The sequence below is a fragment of the Homo sapiens genome, chromosome 21 (genome assembly GCF_000001405.40).
Source record: "Homo sapiens chromosome 21, GRCh38.p14 Primary Assembly".
Lineage (NCBI taxonomy): Eukaryota > Metazoa > Chordata > Mammalia > Primates > Hominidae > Homo > Homo sapiens.
The window spans coordinates 35,273,112-35,293,215 of record NC_000021.9 but is presented as its reverse complement, the minus strand read 5'-3'; the positions used below and the strand labels follow the sequence as shown (position 1 = coordinate 35,293,215).

Here is a 20,104-nt window from a genome sequence, read left to right as displayed (position 1 = left end):
ATTAAGTTCAATAGACGTCGGTGTACTGATTAATAGTCTCTTTAAAGTCACTATAATGTAGTTTCAAAATTGGTTCTGTTATTCAAATGCAAACTTTTATGCTCAATCATTGTGTATTAAATATACCACTCTGGTTTCTTCTCTTTCAACTACTTACCCTGAACAGGTGGAGGAAACAAAGCTCAAATGCTACCTTTTTGGTGACCAAGTGGTTACACAAATAAATAATATGAGTAACATCTGGTGAATATGATGGTACAATAAATATGGAAGTCAAATGATCACATTTAACAGATCCTTTATAAAAATTAACTTTTTAATTTGGAATAATTTTATAGGTAAGCAAAAGTTTCAAAGATAGTTCAGAGAGTTCTCCTGTACCTTTCACCCAGATTCCTCCATTGTCAACATCTTGCATTATGATGGTACATTTGTCACAGCTAAGAAAACAACTTTGAGGCATTACTGTCGGCTAAACTGCAGATACTAATTGTATTTCACCCGCTTTCCCATTACATCCTCACTGGGCTCCAAGATCTAATCCAAGGCACCACATTGCATTTAGTTGTCATATCTCTTTGGTCTCCTACAGTTTGTGAGAATTTCTTGGTCTTTCCTTGTTTTTAATGATCTTGAGAGCCTTGAAGAGTCCTGGCCAAGTATCCTGTAGGATGAGCCCCTGCTCTATTTTTTTCTGTTTGCTTTCCTCATAGGGTCATGGGATGTTGGAAAGAATAGGACAGAGAGGTTAAGTGCCCTTCTCCTCACATTGTATTAGGAGAGACATGCTATCCACATGACATCACTTGGTAGAGTGGTAAGCATTGTGGTTACGCATGGCTTAACTGCTCAGTCGAAGGAGTGTTTGTTAGATTTCTGCACTGTAAAAATTTATTAAATTGCTAATATTTTCTTTTACTTTTCCATACTCTATTCTTGGAAAATGAGTCACCAAGTCTATCCCACCCTGAAGGTTGAGGAGGGTGGCAATTGAGGCCGACCTCCTGGAAGGGGAAGTACCTACACATATTACTCAAAATTCTTGTAGAAGAAAGATTTGTTCCTTTTTCTCCATTTGTGTGTATATGTATGTGTGCATGTATGCATGTATGAACTCATGGGTATTTATCTGGTTCCTCAGGTTATAGTTAGTAATTTTGTGGTTTTTTTGGCTGTAACTGTGTTAGAAACAGCCATTGGAACTGCTTTCAGGTTTGTTCTTTATCCCTTTGATATGTCCCTTTTACTTTATTTATTTCAACACTTCCTTACCTTTGGCCACTGCAAAATGCTCCTGACACACCTTGTACTTTCACTGCCTTAGCCCTAAATTCAGCAGTTTTCCCAAGATGCTCTAATTCTTTTAAACATATTTATGGAAGTAAAAGTAGATTCTCCTTTCAGTAAATATGGTACCATCATTTGATAGGCATATTATTTTAAAACTTACCTTTAGTTAAAGGATTTTCCAAGATTTGTAAAGGTTAATTTGCATTTGTTGAGATACTATAACATTTTATCAATACACACATTTATTAGGCCATAATGATTTACATTATAAAACATTTTTTAACTTCTAAAGGGATTTTTTGGCAATATGTTCTTCTGAAGAATTTGTTAAATAATGCATATAAGATATTTGGCTTGCCATATTTTAGTTTCTGTCTGTACAATTTTTTCTTAATACATCTATCTCAAAAAGTGAATGTATCAGCCAGGATACAGGAGGTTAGGCTGCAGTAACACAAATCCCCAATGTCACTGACTTCAGGCATTTATTCTCACTCGGGCTCCATGTCCACCTTGGGTGAGAAAGAGGCACCACTTAGTGCTCCAGGCCGAACGAGCCTCCACTCTGGATTAAGATCTGTCATCTTGACAGGAGGAAAAAAACATGCTTGTGACCAGAAGTGTGACATCTTACTTCTCAAAGCAAGTCACATGGCCATCCCTGACTTCAAGGTTTACCATCCTGCTAGGTGCCCTAATGGAGGAGAGCTAGAAACATGGATGGACAGCTCTAATGATTAACACACTTTGGTATGTGTCTATCATTAGGGAATCTGGCTTGCCCCAAGTTTTCCAACCTTCAGATAACTCTTTCCTTGAATGCACAAGTAAAATTTATGCAGAGTTTCCATACTGCAAGATGGAAAGGAGCCCTGTATCTTTTCCCAGTATTTCTAAAGCCCTCCAAGAAGCTTCTTTAACTCCACAGCCACTACTTGCCTTTAAAATTCCCCTACTACCCATACAACAATCTCTGAGAAGAGTGTAGCTCAGGAAAGGCTTCACTGCCCTTATTAACTTTTCCTGGGTCTAGACACTGGCCAGAACCTAATTCTTCACAGTAAATTTATGACTGAGCTAAAGTGACTAGGAACCCATCATTTTTAATTACCCATGATTTTTCCAATGGACAAGCACTATTAACATGGGACTGTATTTCCTTTTCATATTTCTTCCTTCAGTAATTATTTTAATAAGAGTTTCAGATTTCACTTTCTCCTCTTAGCAATAAAATATTTTGTCATCCCATAATTTTCAAAAATTTCACTAATAATTGTATAATATCCTATCATACAGAGGTTCCACTACTTATTTTCTAAAATGCTCATATCCTATACTATCAATTTCTATCTTTATAAAACAATAAAAGTACTCTGCAATGGACACTTTTGTATATATGTCTTTATATGTTCTCACTCAATCCCATATCATAAATTCCTGGAAGAACTACTGAGTCAAAGAGAATCAGTGTTTTATGCTATTAATTCTTGCTATTAAATTAAATTTATTGAAGAGATTAATTCCAATGTAACTGATCCCTTGAACGACAAATTAATAAGCCCTATTAAGAGAAATAAAAATATAGAAACAGGAATAGATTTTGAATTAACATGATATCATCATATGTTTTAATTGGAGAACAGTAGTACATCTATTTAAGTAAGAAGTAACTGATTATAGGTTAAACAACTTTTGGTTATAATAGGCTCAATGTGAAAATAGCAATCTGTGGTTATAGACTCCGTAATCTCATCACCTGTTCACTGGCTTGCTAGTTTTAACACCTACCTTTTCTCATACCCACAAAAATCTTATTCGTATGATTTTATTTGTAGAGGAAACTATACTTTTATGAAACCCAAAACTGGGAAACATACAACAAAGTGACATAAAAACAACATAAATTAGTAATGTAGAATCATATAAAAAGTTTTGGATTTGGAAAAATAATGTTTAGGATAACGGAACTGCACTTCTCAGTTTTCTAGAAAATATATATTCTTATTAATGCATTAAAAAAATCAGAGTTCATGTAGAAGAGTTAAATTTTATTCTTTCTGTGGAGGAGGGGAATTCTACTCTACAATTGTCATCATGGAAGACATCTCTAAAAAATTAAAAGGCTTTCACTCTCTGCTGATGAGACTTGGAAGCAATTTCAAATTCCCTATGAATGGTTATGATTTGCAGGACAACATTAAAAACAGAAATTGGAGTGACTTGTGAGGTCATTCCACACACAGGGTAGTATCATAGGTTTCTGTGGCTTAGTTACAATGACCTATAACTTGTGTAAAAATCACCTACAGATATACAAACACATATATATACACACAGAGTTGTTAAAACTAGACAACGTAATTTAACCACAAAATCCACAGTTGCTTAAAACCAAGACAGCTCCAATTATTTAGCCACAGAAATGCAGAATCATTTAACCGCCGTATACAACGCATATTGCCAGAAATACTAATTTCATATTCATATCTGGAATAGTTTGTATCATTAAAAATATTTTTCGTATCTCCAACCTAGCTCTCTGGAAGATTACATGCTACCTTGACCCCAAAACTGACGAACAACAACATAGTTTGCTGTAGTTGTATATGTCTAGCCAGCTTGGTTGGTCCCTATCCCTGTTCTTCTGTAATGTGACAGTTTTCAAATTTCTTGCAGAAATTTTGATAATTCAATAATTTTATTAAAATATGATAATTTCATTGTGAAATACCAAATAAGTTTGTTTTGCCATGAGCATTTAATCTTGCCTAAAGGGAAATAATGGGGGAAAACACTAAGTAAGGTCAGTAGTGCCAGTGTTGTGTTATCTCAGATTGTGGTTGTATCATTGTTTTGGGGTTTATAAAACAACTGCATATAGAATTGGAATGGCTTTCAGGCTGGTCACATTTGATTGAATAATAACTAAATGATGTCCTATATCTGGTGTCCAATATTGTGCTTGGCCTACAGTATGCTTTTTAGGGTTATTATTATATTTTAGTCATTCCTTTTTTATTTTATTTTTATTTTTAGTTGACGCTTAATTGTGCATATTTGTGGGCTACACTGTGATGTTTTGATATACGTATACCTTGTGTAATGATCAAATCAGGATAATTAGCGTGTCCATCACCTCAAACATTTACCATTTCTCTGTGGTAGGAACATACAAAATTCTCTCTTCTAGCTATTTTGAGATGTGTAATACCTTATTGTTGACTATGGTCACCCTACTGTGCAACAGAACATCAGCACTTATTCTTCCTTCCTAATTGTGACTTTTTATCCACTGACCTATCTCTCTCCTTTCTCTTCTTCTTCCCACCCTCTTCAGCTGCCAGGAACCACTGTTCTATTCACTACTTCTATGAGATCAACTTTTTAACATTCTGCTATAAATGGGAACATGTAATATTTGTCCTTCTGTCACTGGCTTATTTCACTTAATTTCATTCAGATTCATCCATGTTGTTGTGAATGACAGGATTTTATTCTTTTTTATGGCTGAATAGTATTCCGTTGTATATATACATCACATTTTCTTTTTCCATTTGTCTGTTATTGAACACTGAAGTTAATTCCATATCTTGGCTATTATGAATAGTGCCGCAACAAACATGGGAGTGAAGATATCTCTTTGACATACAGATTTTATTTTCTTCAGATATATACCCACTAACAGGATTACTGGATCAAACTAAAGAGCTTCTGCACAGCAAAGAAAACAATCAACAAAGTATAGAAACAACCTACAAAATGGGAGAAAATATTTGCAAACTATACATATGACAAGGGGTGAATATCCAGAATATATAAGAAACTCAAACAACTCAATAGCAAAAAAAAAAAAAAAATCTTATTTAAAAATGGGCAAAATACCTTAATAGGCATTTCTCCAAATAAAACACACAAATGACCAACAGGTATAGGAAAAACTACTCAATATCACTAATCATCAGAAAAATGCAGATCAAAACTACAATGAGATATCACCTCACATCTGTTAGGATGGCTATTATCAAAAAGACAAAAAAAAAAAAAAACAAGTGTTGTAGAGGATGTGGAGAAAAGGGAACCCTTGTGCACTGTTGGTGAGAATGTAAATTAGTACAGCTATTATGAAAAACAGCATACAGGTTTCTTAATAAAGATAGAACTATCTTATGAGCAAGTATGCTCTTAATAGATGCTAACTAAATGAATGACAAAAATGAATGATGTATTAGCTATCTATTGTGGTGAAGCAGTATCACCACAAACATAGTAGCTGAAAACAACACACATTTATCATCTACAGTTTTTGTAGGTCAGAAGTCTGGACACAGTTTAGTTGGGTTCACAGTCTCAAGGACTCACAAGGCTGCAATGAAGGTGCTGGCTAGAGCTGTGGTCTCATCTGAGGCTTGATTGGGGAAGGATACATTTCCAAGCTCGTGTAGTTGTTGGCAGAATTTAGTTCCTTGTGGTTTTAGGACTAAAGGGCTTATTTTGTTGGGGGTGTCAGCTGGAGGCCCTTGCAGGCTGGAGACTGCCCTTACTCCCTAGATGCTGTTCCTAATTCCTTGCTGTGTGGGGTTCCCCAACATAGCTACTCACGTCCTCAAAGCCAGCAAGGGAGAGAGAGACTCCAGGAAGATGGATGATACAGTTTTGTTTTGTTTTGTTTGTTTGTTTGTTTGTTTTTGAGACAGAGTCTCATTCTGCTGCCCAGGCTGGAGTGCAGTGGTGCAGTCTCGTCTCACTACAACCTCTGCCTCCCAGGTTCAAGTGATTCTCCTGCCTCAGCCTCCCGGGTAGCTGGGACTACAGGTGTGTGTCACTGCACCCAGCTAATTTTTGTATTTTTAATACAGACGGGGTTTCACCATGTTGGCCAGGATGGTCTCGATCTCTTGACCTTGTGATCCACACATCTCAGCCCCCCAAAGTGCTTGGATTACAGGTGTGAGCCACCGCACCCAGCCAGATGATGCAGTTGTATGTAATATAATCACCTAATCCCATACACCCTGTCTTTTTGCCATATTCTATTATTTAGCAGCAATTCACAGGTGCTGCTCACACTGAAGAGGAGATCACAGTAGGGTGTGAATACTAGGAGGTGGGGGTCAGGAGGGCCACTTTTAGTCTGTCCATTACAGATGGATATTTAAATATAACATGTTGAGTTTTAACATAAATGACTCTACCCCTTTCCTAAAAGAAATTGGAATGTATGTACCTCAGATGATGCATTCTTGTTTACTGCATAAAGTGGCTAACAGTTTCCTTTTATTAAGACTTTTGTGTTTTGTAATCTACAGATCCCAAACAACATTGGACATGTAGAAATTAGAGACTGATGTTCCCGAACTGCGGTTGGCTTTTTAAGGAATATCTGATTGTCTAACCTGGTGAAGGCCAATTATGGACTATGATATCAGTAGGAGAAGTAGTTGAAGTTTTGGTAATAATGGAAATACATGATAGTAGTTTGTTTGCTGAGTATAATTTTATGTCAGGCATTGTGCCAAGTACATACATGTGCCAGTCAGGATGAATGTTAAAATTCCAGCCACAGTTGAATCCTATGAGATGCTGCACAGAGGCGAGCATGGGTTGGGCATGCCAGTCTACTCCTCAGACACACTTGATAGGCCTGGGGGGGCCCCAAGCCCAAGGGGGCCAGTGTTGAGTCTGCTCACAACAGTGTGGGGCTGGCTGAAAAGGCTGGGCTGATTCCTCAGGTTCTGTCTGGAATTTGCAGTAGCACCAAGAGAATACGGCATTTAACAACGAAAACTGATGCTTAAAATGTACCATGAAAGGATATGACAAGCTGGAGAGGCACGAACTGAAATGAACGATCACAGATGGAATGAGCACTTTGGGAGGCCGAGGTGGTGGATCAGCTGAGGTCAGGAGTACAACACCAGACTGACCAACATGGTGAAACCCTGTCTCTACTAAAAATACAAAATTAGCCAGGCGTGGTGGTGCATGCCTGTAATCCCAGCTACTTGGGAGGCTAACACAGGAGAATCACTCGAACCCAGGAGGTGGAGGTTGCAGTGAGTCGAGATCATGCCACTGAACTCCACCCTGGGCAACAAGAGTGAAACTCCATCTCAAAAAAGAAAAGAAAGAAATGGAATGAACAGAATGATATACCTATTATTTCAACAAATATTAACTGAGTGCTTAAAATGTGCTAGACACTGCACTGGGTGTTAGGGTATAAAGGTAGACAAGGTAAACAGGTTCTAGCCTTCACAGAGATGAATTCCACTAGGGAAGACACAAATCAAAATTAAAACTAAGACTAATGCTATAATCTGTTAAAACATATGTCTGCCCTCAGACCCAGAATTCCCTGTCTGGTATATACCCAACAACAGAGGTGCATTCTATTTTTTTTTTTTTTTTTTTTTTTTTTTTTTTGAGACAGAGTCTTCGCTCTGTCACCCAGGCTGGAGTGCAGTGGCGCAATCTCGGCTCACGGCAAGCTCCTCCTCCTGGGTTCCCGAGCCATTCTCCTGCCTCAGCCTCCCGAGTAGCTGGGACTACAGCCGCCTGCCACCACGCCCGGCTAATTTTTTTATATTTTTAGTAGAGACAGGTGTTTCACCGTGTTAGCTAGGATGGTCTCGATCTCCTGACCTCGTGATCTGCCTGCCTCGGCCTCCCAAAGTGCTGGGATTACAGGCATGAGCCAGAGGTGCATTCTTACGTCCACCAAATGGCTCGTGCAGGATGTCTTTAGCAGTTTCATTTATAATAGCTAAAAATTGAAAACAGTTTAAGTATCAGCAAAAGGATGAATAAATAAGTTATAATCATAGAGCTGAATGTTATACAGTCATAAAAAAGGACAAATTACACATAACTACATGATGAATCTCAAAGCATTCTGCTCAGTAAAAGAAGACACACACAACAGAGTATTTGCTATGTGATTACATTTCTATAAAGTTCAAGAACAAGCACAACTAATCAATGGTGAGAGAAGTCAGAATAGTGCTTATCTCTGGAAATAGGGAAGAAGGCACTCTGAGGACCAACTTGGAAAGGATGTAGGGCAATCTTCTGGGTTTGTAGTCATGTTCCACTTCTTGATCTGGGTGGTGGTTACACGGGTTTAGATATGTCACAATTCATCAAGCTCCACATTAAAATTAAGTCACCTTATTGTATTATGTTATACTGCAATAAAAATAAAATAGACAAAAATACTCATACATTGTGTTTTCTGAAGGATACGATAGTAAGGCTGAATTGGGGACACTGTGGAGCAATGGCCTGCTTTAGGTAGACTGGTCTATGCGGTTCTTTGTGGGGGCGCCGTTTCTGCTGAGACCTAAGGGATTCAAAGGAGTTTGCCTTGGGAAGATCACAGGGAGAGCAGCCCAGTCCAAGGGCACTGCAGGGCAAAGACCCTGAGGTGGGAATGAGCTCTGAGATGAGAAACGTGGCTCCAAATTAATGAGCTAGATGCGGCCTGGCACGGAGCCAGAGAAGTTGGCCGGGATAGGGTCATTCAGGGCCTTGGAAGCTGTAGTAAGAAGTTTAGGGTTTACTCCAAGTGCCTTGAGAAACCACGGGGAGGGCTTTGAGCAGGAAAGTGAAACGAGCTCACTTACAGCTGGAGAAGCAGCCACTCTGTCTGCAGGGTGGAGCATGGATAGCAGACTCTAAGGGTTCAGAGAGAGGAGGGGGCAGGGACAGGGTCCCAGGCAGGGCAGGGGAAGTGACAGATTTGAACTGGAGTCTTCACATGGCATCAACAGCACCTGTTGGTGAATCCAGCAGGTGGTGATGGTCTGGCTGGATTGGCGAGGGCGCCCATTGCCCAATTTTCTAAAATGTGGAAAATCAAGAAGGGATAGAGATGGGGGTTGGGGAAGAAGCAATAAGGCTGCTTTGGACATTTTGACTTTGAGACATCTGTGTTCCAAGTGGAGGAGGAATTGCATGCATTAGCCAGGAGCTTGGCAGAGAAGCATCACCATTAAGATGGCATGTGCATCCGTCGGAATGGAAGTGCTCACCTACAGACGTGCATGGACAGAGGGAGAGAGGAAATGAGGCTAAAGCAGAGGAGGACAAGTGTGGTCATTCCATCGTGGCAGCATGAATCTGTGTCATCTGAAGGGGAACTGGGACAAACCTCCCTGTGCTCCTTCTGGGAGTGTCCTGGGACCTTCCTGGGACCTCCTTATCACTCTGGATGTAGCTCACCACTACCCATCCCTCTAACAATGCTAGTGTGAATGAGTTCCTCATTCCTAAAATAAAAGAGGACAACTTTAAAAAATGGCCACATTGGACGTTTACTCAAGTTTCTGAGGTATTAACATGCCCATTTAAGAAATGTATTTTGTGTCAGTTATTTGATGGCATGGCTACAACTTGCCATCAGGTTAATTCCCAAGGGAGTGCACCGAACCAGAGAAATGAAGGCAGAATTTGCTGACAGTTTTATCACAAGTAAAATAAAAAAGACTATCTCCCACAAATGGGAATACAAAAATACCCCTGCATTGTCATAGCTGGTGAAACAACACCAGCTCCTCAGAGAGGACAGGCAGAGTTTGCTCCAGTCTTTCCGGGGTTAAAATAACTGAAGAGTCTTTGAGCTTGGGAGGAAGCAAAGGCAAGGCCTGGTAACAAATTCCTGACAGGAAGCAGGTCTGTGGGTGCAGGCCAATTGTCCAGTTCAAGGACAAAATGGGAAAAGCAGCAGAGGCCCCAGAAAAGCCTTCACCGAGTGTCCCATGAGCCACCCTGATAAGGCGTCTCTCCCATTCCTTCCTGGGACAAAGTGATGACTCACTTCGGAACCTGCCCCATACCCTTTATAGATCAGTGTATGTAAATCTGTATGGAGAATAATACATGTTTCCTCTTGTGGTATATCCAGTAATAATTATCTAATTCTTCTATGATCATCATACATTTCTGACGTAAAGAACTCTAAGGGTTGTTTTATTAAGACACCAGAATTGGAAGCAACATTGTCAACATGTGAGATCTGAAGTAGAAAAAAATCAGTAAGATATTTCCTAAAACATGTTCTTTTCTTTTCTTTCTTTTTCTTTCTTTCTTTCTCTTTCTTTCTTTTTTTTTTTTAATATAGGCTGCTCTGTCACTCAGGCTGGAGTGCAGTGGTGCAATCCCGGCTCCCTGCAACCTCCTCCTCCGAGGTTCAAGTGATTCTCGTGCCTCAGCCTCCCGAGTAGCTGAGATTACAGGTTCATGCCAGCATGCCCGGCTAATTTTTGTATTTTTTAGTAGAGACAGGGTTTCTCCATGTTGGCTAGGCTGGTCTCAAATTCCTGGCCTCAAATGATCTGCCCACCTCGGCCTCCCAAAGTGCTGAGATTACAGGCGTGAGCCACGCCACCCGGCCAACATGTTCTTTTTTTAATGAGGCTCAATGCTATTGAGTGCACTAAATTTTACACACACACACACACACACACACACACACACACACACACACGTACACATTATGTGATATTCGTTTTAGTAACTATGATAAATGGTTGGTTCTGTTTTGTGAAATCTACCATCCATTTTGATTAAACCTTACACTTAAGTGCAGCAAGACTTGTAGCTGGCTTTCCTTGATTATGTCTGCAATATCCAATTCACATGAATCTTTTTCTGCATACTTACTTTGAATTCTAAGAAAATCAAAACAAGAAAGTAGGTACATCAAAACTTCCTCTTTTTCCAGAACACGTCACCTCTTTTCCATGTCATTGTTATTCCTCTTCTCGTTTTCTCTAGGACGTGATCATCTTCCCACAGCACCCACCCCTTCCTGTCTAAAGCCCTGGGTGTCAGTTTCCTAGGTCTGCCATAACAGAATACCACAATCTGAGTGGCTTAAAATAACAAAAATGTATTTATTCTCTTGCAGTTCTAGAGACCAGAATTTCTAGATCAAGGTGTCAGCAGGGTCATGCCCCCTCTGAAATTCTGGATAGAATCCTTCCTTTCCTCTTCCAGCTCCTGGCAGGGGTTGTCAATCTCTGGCATTCCTTGACTTGCAGCTGCCTCACCCCACTCTCAGCCTCTACCGTCACGTGGCATTTTTGCATTTTCCTCTTCTTATAAGGACATCAGTCATATTTTGATTAAACTTCAAACACCTCATCTTAACTAGATTACATTTGTGAAGACCCTATTTCCAAATATAATCACATTTTAAGGTACTGGGGGGTTTGTACTTCCACCTATCTTTTTTGTGAACATACAATTCAACCTTTAACGCACTGTGTCGCTTACATTTGGTTGTAGTATAGTTTAAATCTCAAAAGAAACAAGGCTTAAATTTTTTTCATAATCCACATATTAAAAGTTCTATCGCTAAAATTTATCCAAGGGCAGTTAATCACAAAAATTATCTTTTCAAAATAAAGTAATATGTCAGTGCTTTGAGGAAACTTCAGCAGGCACCTGCATGTTTGTATGTGTATACACACATAGAGACACACACACTTTCTCTCTTTCATGTACTACCTTTTTAGGAACTTAAGAATAAATAGGCCGGGCATGATGGCTCACGCCTGTAATCCCAGCACTTTGGGAGGCCGAGGCGGGTGGATCACCTGAGGTCAGGAGTTCAAGACCAGCCTGTTCAACATAGTGAAACCCCATCTCTACTAAAAATAAAAATTAGCTGGGCATGGTGACACACACCTGTAATCCCAGCTACTCGGGAGGCTGAGGCAGGAGAATCTCTTGAACCTGGGGGACGGAGGTTGCAGTGAGCCGAGGTCGCACCATTGCACTCCAGCCTGGGCGACAGAACAAGACTCCATCTCAAAAAACAAACAAACAATAAAAAGAGTGTAGGCTCCAGAGACCAGAGGGGCTTGAAGTTGGCTCTGTTACTGACTCAGGGTGTGTCCTGGGTTCTGCTACTCAGCCTTCCTCAAAAGTTGGTCATGAAACTGGAATGAGATGATGCATGGAAATTGCTTAGCCTAGGGATAGACGCCGAGTCGATGTTCAATAAATACCACCCAGTATTAAGCAGCATGTAAGTAATATACTAATTGACTACTGGTTGTAATTTTTTTACTGCTATCCTTTTTTAAAAAAAAAAAATGTTTTAAATTTTGAATAGTAATAAGGTTGGGGAGCTTATATAAAGGAGTTCCTGAAAATTAGAAAATTCTGTTTTGTTTTGCTTTGCTTTATAAGTTCTCAAAAATTGTAGAGCTTGATTTGGGTGAGATGTTACAGTATATGACCCTTCTTAGTAAGAGTTTATGAAAAGCATCTAGCTTTGATATTAATCTTATTATCAAAAGTCAGTCTTTGCTTAAAAAATGGATTTGAAAGCAGACAGACTTGAATTTACATGTGACATTGGGCAGTCTCTCAATGTTTCTGAGCCTCAGTTTCCTCATCTTGAAACTAGGATTGTTAGGAGCTGAGAAGATGGGAACCTAGATGCTATGACTCAGATCCTAAAAAAAAAAAATTAGAATGTTCCTTATTTTCCATAACTGATCTCATTTTGGAGCTTCTGTGTTCCCCTATAAAAGGGGAAGAAAAGTCAAACTGGTCAGTATGAGTATCTTAGTTTTAACTGGTTTAAAACACTCTTTCAGATTAACTCAGTCACTTTTGCATAAATGGGTAGTCTTTTGAGGATTTGAGTTAAGTCAATTTGGGATTTCTTTCCAGGGGCATCAAAACAAATATAAACAGAATTTATACATCATCCTGGTTTGAAGGTGGAAGTTGTAGGTGCTAGAACCACATTGGGTCTAGGGGCTGTCTCCTGGGTTCATTCTGGCCTGTGAAATAAGCCAGACACAAAAAGCCACTTATTGTATGATTCCATTTATATGAAATGCCCAGGATAGTTGACTCTATGGAAAGGAACTGTATTAATGGTTGCGAGTTGGGTGAGGAGGAAATGAAGTGTGATTGATAATGGATACAGGGTTTCTTTTTGGGGTGATGGAAGTGTCCTGGAATTAGGTAGTGGTAGCAATGGAAAAGTTTATGAATATAATAAAAGCTGCTGAATTGCATACTTTAAAGGGTGAATTTTGGGGGTATGTGAGTTACACTTAAATTGTTGTTGTTGTTGTTGTTGTTGTTGTTGTTGTTTTAGACAGAGCCTCGCTCTGTCACCCAGGCTGGAGTGCAGTGGCACAATCTTGGCTCATTGCAACCACCACCTCCCGGGTTCAAGTGATTCTCCTGCCTCAGCCTCCTGAGTAGCTGGGACTACAGGTGCCTGCCACCATGCCTGGCTAATTTTTTGTATTTTTAGTAGAGATGGGGTTTCACCATGTTAGCCAGGATGGTCTTGATCTCCTGACCTCGTGATCTGCCTGCCTTAGCCTCTCAAAGTGCTGGGATTACAGGCTTGAGCCACCATGCCTGGACTTGTACTTAATTTTTAAAAATCACTCATGGTCAGAATTAAAATTATTGTATTTCACTGTGTTCTTAGTTCTTTTGTGCATACTTTATCACAACTGGAATTTACTTTCTAGGAGAAAAAAAATCAGTTGCACGTATTTGTGTAGGTTTATTTCTAGGCTCTCTGTTCTGTTCCACTGTCTATTCCTCACTGTCTTGATATTACAGCTATATAGAATTAATAACTATTAATAGCAAGTACTAATTATTTGCACTTTATTCATTTTTTGGTCAAGATTGTTTTTGCTATTCTAGGGCTAGTGCCTTTCCATATAAAGTTTGAAATAAGCTTATCTGTGCCTACAGAAATCTTGCTGGGATTTTGATAGAAGTTTTATCTAATCTATAGGCCAAGCTGGAAAGAACTGATGTATTTACTATGTTGACTCTTCCAATCCATGAGCATGGTATGCCTCTCTATTAATTTAAGCATTGTTTGATTTCCTTTATCAGCATCTTGTAATTTTTAGCATATAGATCTTATACATGTTTTGTTAAGTTTATTTAACCAAAATATTTAAATTTCTCTGGCATGATTATAAATAGTACTGTTTTTAAGTTCAGTTTTCACATGTCCATTCTTAGTAGATATAAATACAAGTGATTTTTGTCTATTAATTAGGTATCTGGCAACTTTGTTTAATTCACTTCTAGGAAATTTTTGTTGTTATTTGATAGATTCATTGGGCTTTTCTATTCAGACATTTATGTTATCGGCAAATAGGGACAGTTTTTATTTCTTCCTTTCCAATTTGCATACATTTTATTAATTTTCCTTGCCTTATTGCAGTGCCTAGAACTTTTAGTATTATGTTGAATCAGAGTGGTGAGAGTAGATGTCCTTTCCTTGTTTCCAATCTTAGAAGAAAATAATTCAGTCTTTCACTATTAAGTATGGTGTCATGTACCGGTCATTTTCAGTCTGCATCTTGGGAAGCACCATGTGGGACCCATGCCATACTGAATATCAGGCTATTCTCAGGAGGTGAATGTTCCTCTGGGCTATACCCTGGGAAGTGAGAAACAAACCTTCCTTGGGGAACTTTTCTCAAATCTTTTCTTATTTTTTTTACACAAAAGATAAGTCAACCCAGCCTGGAGTGCAGTGGCATGATAATAGCTCACAGCAGTCTCAAACTCCTGGGCTCAAGCAACCGTCTCACCTTAGCCTCCCAAGTAGCTGGAACTACAAGTGTATGCCATGACACCATGCTAATTTTTATTTTTATTTGTCGTAGAAATGGGTGTCTCACTATGTTACCCAGCTGATCTCAAACTCCTGGGCTCAAGCAATCCTCCCACTTCAGCCTCCCAAAGTGCTGGGATTACTGGCATGATCCACTGCACCCAGCCATGCCCTCAAATCTTTCTGGTTGTTTCAAACTCCATGCCTCTGCCCATGTCTCCACCCTGCCAGTTATATCCTCTCCACTTTTCATTCCATGCTTAAGGGACCAGAAGCTTCCCTTCTTCCTGAAACCTTTAAGAAATGGGGCTTCCTTTATATCACATCCTCTATGATTAGTCTAGTGCAGGAGTCTTTAAAGTGTGACATGTCAACTGCTGGGCATCCCCGAGACCCTAGCAGGGGTGTCTATGAGGCACAAAATGATTTTGATAAATACAAAGACATTATTTGCTTTTAAAAAATGTGTCGACATTCTTCATTGATGTTGTAAAAATATTGGTGTGTAAAATTATGAGCACCATAGCAACAATCAAGACAGTGGTATGAGGCCAGGCTCAGTGACTCACGCCTGTAATCCCAGTACTTTGGGAGGCCGAGGCGGGCAGATCACTTGGGTCAGGAATTCAAGACCAGCCTGGCCAACATGGCGAAACCCCGTCTCTACTAAAAATACAAAAATTAGCCGGGCGTGATGGTGCATGTCTGTAGTCCCAGCTACTCAGGAGTCTGAGGCATGAGAATCACTTGAATCCGGGAGGCGGATGTTGCAGTGAGCTGAGGTTGCACCACTACACTTCAACCTAGGTGACAGAGGGAGACTCTGTCTCAAAAAAAAAAAAAAAAAAAAGACAGTGCTGTTAAACACAACTAGTAGTCACTGCATTTTTTCCGCCATCCATGTACAGTTAAAAAAAATCAGTTTCATTAAATTATGTCCTCCATGAAGCAATAAAAAAATTAATGCTATTAAATCTCATCCCTTGAGTACACATCTTTTTAATATTTTATATAACCAGACAGGAAGTATGCATAAACCACCTCTGCTACATACTGGACCACAGTGGTTGTCTGAAGAAGCAGAAGCAAGTTGTGAGTATTCTGAACTAGCCTCTTTTTCATAAAACACCACTCTTATTTGAAAAATAACTGACGTACAAACTATAGTTATTCAAACGTAGGTGTTATGGAGATATTTTCTTGAAAATGATTAAAGCAAGCCTGTCACTTCAAGAAAAACAGCTGAGAACATTTGTTGCTAATGATAAAATTTGAATTTTCAACAAAAATAAGAATTTTAGAAATTTGTTTCCACCCCTGTGAACTTACTTCCAAGTGCTTACAGACATTTCTGATGACATGGATAGTGATATTAACAAATGTGATTTTTTAAAATATTGAGTAATGAAATGTGTCAACATTTGAAAGATCTACATAACTTAGTGAACTGATAGTTTCCAAGTGGCCAATACATAATGTTACAAAAACATACATGAGTAAAAGATCTATTCAAAGCATGAGATGGATAAATTAAGTTTAATATATCAAAGTATGAAAATTCATTGCTATAGTTTGAAATTCCATATGGCAACTAAACATTAAGAAGTAGGATTTTTTTCAAAGAATAATTCCACAATAATCTGAAATGGCGATTAATATACCTTGCATTTTTGAACTATTAATAAATATGTGTGTGAAGCTGGATTTTCTTCATGTACTTCAACCAAAACAGCAGATTGAAACAGACTGAATGCAGATGCAGATATAAAAATTTAACTTTCTATCAAACTAGACATTGAAGAGATTTCCAAAAAATATTTTTTTTAAAAAGTCACTCCTTACATATTGTTTTGGACAATGTAATTATTTCCCAGAAATGTATCCCTTAAGTTAACATGTAATGGATTTAACATTGATCTTATAAGAATGAATTAATAAATATTTTTACATGTCTCAATTTTAATTTATAAATATAGTAACTACTGATAAATATATAACCCCTGTAAACCAACAAAAGTTATCTGGGGCCTTAATAATTCTTAATATTGCAAAGGTGTCCTGAAATAAAAAAAAGTTTGACAACTTACTCGTCACTCCCACAAGTTTTCTCATTTATGATTAAAGGGAAGCTTTGAGTATTTATCAAATTCTTTTCTCTCTCCACAAGCTTAGCTTTCAAGACTGTTGTCTCGTCTGAGCTTAACAAATCTAGTCTGCTCCTCAAAGCTGAACAAAGTTGTCTTTGTTTTAGGCAGTATCTGCCTTCCCCTGAAGCAATAAATGCCTCTGATTCAATCTGTGGGGAGCCACAGGGCAAAATGATTTGCAAGGAATAAAAAAACTACATTGGTTTACCATATGAAAAATATTATCGTCATTACATGGTATTAAATGGGATTTGTATCTTTAGTAACTGGCAGAGTACCTTGCAGAGAATAGCTACTCAATTCTTGTGGTTCCATTCCCCAAATAAGATACCGATCTAAATCTAACCAAGTAAAATAGTATTGAGGTTTTTTTTCCCAGTGCACAAACTATTCTATGCATTAAAAGTGGTCATTTTTAAAAACAACCAATCAAGAAGTATTTGAAATGTACAAGGCACTTAGCTAGCAAGGTGCTAGCTGGGAACGCAAATCCAATTAGAAACAAATACTGTTTTATATGCTCGAGAGCAATAGGTCTCAACCTTGGTTATACATTGGAAACATCTAGGGAGTTTTTTAAAAGTACCAACACCTGGGCTTCAGTCCAATAGATTTTGATTTAAATGGTTTAGGGTGTGTTCTGAACATCAGTATTCTTTAAAATTCCTCAGTGGATCTTAATGGACAACCAAGGTAGAGAACAGTGGATTAAAACTGTAGAGTTTCAAATAAACTCCATTATATTCATTCATTCGCTTGTTCATTTATTTTATAGGTATTTATTGAGCACCTACTATGTTCCAGGAACTCTCATGCTGGGGATATGGCAGTAAACCAAACAAGGCATCTGCTCTCATGAGGCTAACGTTCTAGCAGAGACAGACAGAAACCACAGACATAAGCACATAAATACATGTTATGTCATTGGTGATAAGAACTCTGAAGAGGAAGAAAGCATGTTCGGGGATAGGTGGGTTAAGGTGCTTTTCAAGGGGCCATTCAGAGAGTCTCCTGTCAAAGTGGGCTGAAAACACAGAGAGTGGTGCTGAAAGGAAATCGAGCAGCTACTCGGGGAGGTTCATGCCAGGCCAAGCAAAAGTAAGTCAGAACTCGGCCCTTCTGATGTTCCAGATGCAAGAGGAGGCAATCGCTAGAGTGGTGGTTGAGAGGGAGAGCAGAAGGAGGTGGGCTGAGAGGCACCCTGTCAGGACTTTGCACTTTATCCCGAGCTAGACCATAGGGTGCTAGAGAGTTCTGAGCAGAGCAGTGATATTCTGACACTGGCTTTGAAACATCACATGAAAGAGATTGCAGAGAGCACCACTCAAGGGTAGAAGCAGGAAGATGAGTTAGGAGGGTATTTCAACAATCCAATTGAGAAGGGATAGGGTGAGGGCCAGGGGGTAAATTGAAGGTGGCGAGAAGTGGTTTCAGCCAAGATAGGCTATGGTGGAAGAGCCAGCAGAATTCACTGATGATTTGGATTTGAGAGTAGAAGATAGTGGAGAGCCAAAGCAACTCCAAGGTTTTCTGCCTGAGCAACACGTCTGCTCCTTGCAGCAATGCAGTCAGGTAGTCGGAAAAGGCATTTTCTCCAATTTATGAATGAGACACTGAGGCCAAGAGAAGGGTAAGTGGCAAATGCAGGACCATACAGCTGATAAATCGCTAGAACTATTTACTGCCTGCCAACTCTTCAGATTCCAGGTCTAGGGATTCTTTCCTTTGTCAAAGTTTGAAACCACAATAACATAGGAGCAAACTCCACTTCCTTGAAGTTTGTTTTCTAGCTGTGAACTTAGGAGCTAGAGATAAACACCAAGTCTTAAATTAGTGCTAAACTCTGTGTACTAGTGCCACATGGGTGGGAGAGGCTATAGGCGTTTTCAAGATCCTATGGCCTTGGCAGAGTGAGCAAGAGCAGAGTGAACAAGGCAGGCTGGAGGAGCTGGGTAGGAAGAGGACAGAGAAAGGAAGGGAGAGGCCATTGCTTGCAGGGTAAAGGAAAGAGGCTGATATATGTACATATCGTGTGTTCAGACATCAAAGTATAAAGCTCTGTATTTGGTTGGACAAGAAGATGCAAGTGCATTGAGGAGGAGGGGGGACCAGGTGGGCGGAGGTGGGGGAATCAGGGAGTTGAAATGAATTTGATAATTTAGGGCCAGATTATAGTAGACATTAAATGCCTATCTAATAGCGAGTGAGCCCATGGACTCCTAATAGAGATAATAAAGATTAGAGAAATATTGATGTGATTTCAAGGTGATAGTTAAGCTTATTAGGAAAGCAGTAATAAAACCTCCATTAAAACAGGTCAAGAATATAGTTCTAATTTAATAACAAGTTGGATTAATCGGCTAGTCTTTAGAAGAAGTTTCATAATCACAGAAACCTTTGAACTTGATGGGGGAGTTAACAGTAATTATTGTCAATAAGAACAGAGATCCCTTTGAAATAATAAGGCATTAAAATAAGGTGTAAAAGCAGTTGAGTGGCTTCCATTTGTACAAAACAGCAAAACAGCTTCAGGCCAAATGTATGCCTGGCCTGGGAGAGGCTGGAAGCTGAGCTCTATTTGCCCACCGGCTGGCTCTAGAGTGAGCAGTTGCATTTGTTTTGTGGGTGTGGCTAAGACAGGACAACTGGGAAGGCGTTTGAATGGCAAAACTCTTTCAATAAGGCCTAACTGGTTTGGGGAGTTCGGAGGGTGTGTACTTAAGGTAAGTTGGGGGTATTTAGTTAGGCCTACAATCCCTCATAATACTAGGTGGGGTATTGTGCAAAGAGAGGGCAGGAAAAATGTTCTAGATATGTTAGTGTGGTTTTTTGTTTTTCTCAAGAGGGAAAAATGTTCTTAAATCAAACTGTGGTCTACTTGAGAAACCCATGGCCATATGGAGTATATTTTAAAAAGGAGCAATTTTTGAACCAATACTCTTTGGCCTTTAAAATATATGAATCTACTTGATATCACTTCTGTTGCTTTAGTGGAACAGTCAACGTGAATTTAGAGTTGCAAGTGTCTTCTGCAGTTTAGAAGTGC

The 20,104-nt window shown here is 39.2% G+C and overlaps 1 annotated feature.

Moving 5' to 3' along the window:
* Positions 18,548–19,049: an enhancer, noted in NCBI's record as "H3K4me1 hESC enhancer chr21:36646465-36646966 (GRCh37/hg19 assembly coordinates)". NCBI's record gives its function as "activates a minimal SCP1, AML or CMV promoter by ChIP-STARR-seq in naive H9 embryonic stem cells {active_cell/tissue: H9 hESC(naive)}" and the evidence as "EXISTENCE:reporter gene assay evidence [ECO:0000049][PMID:30033119]".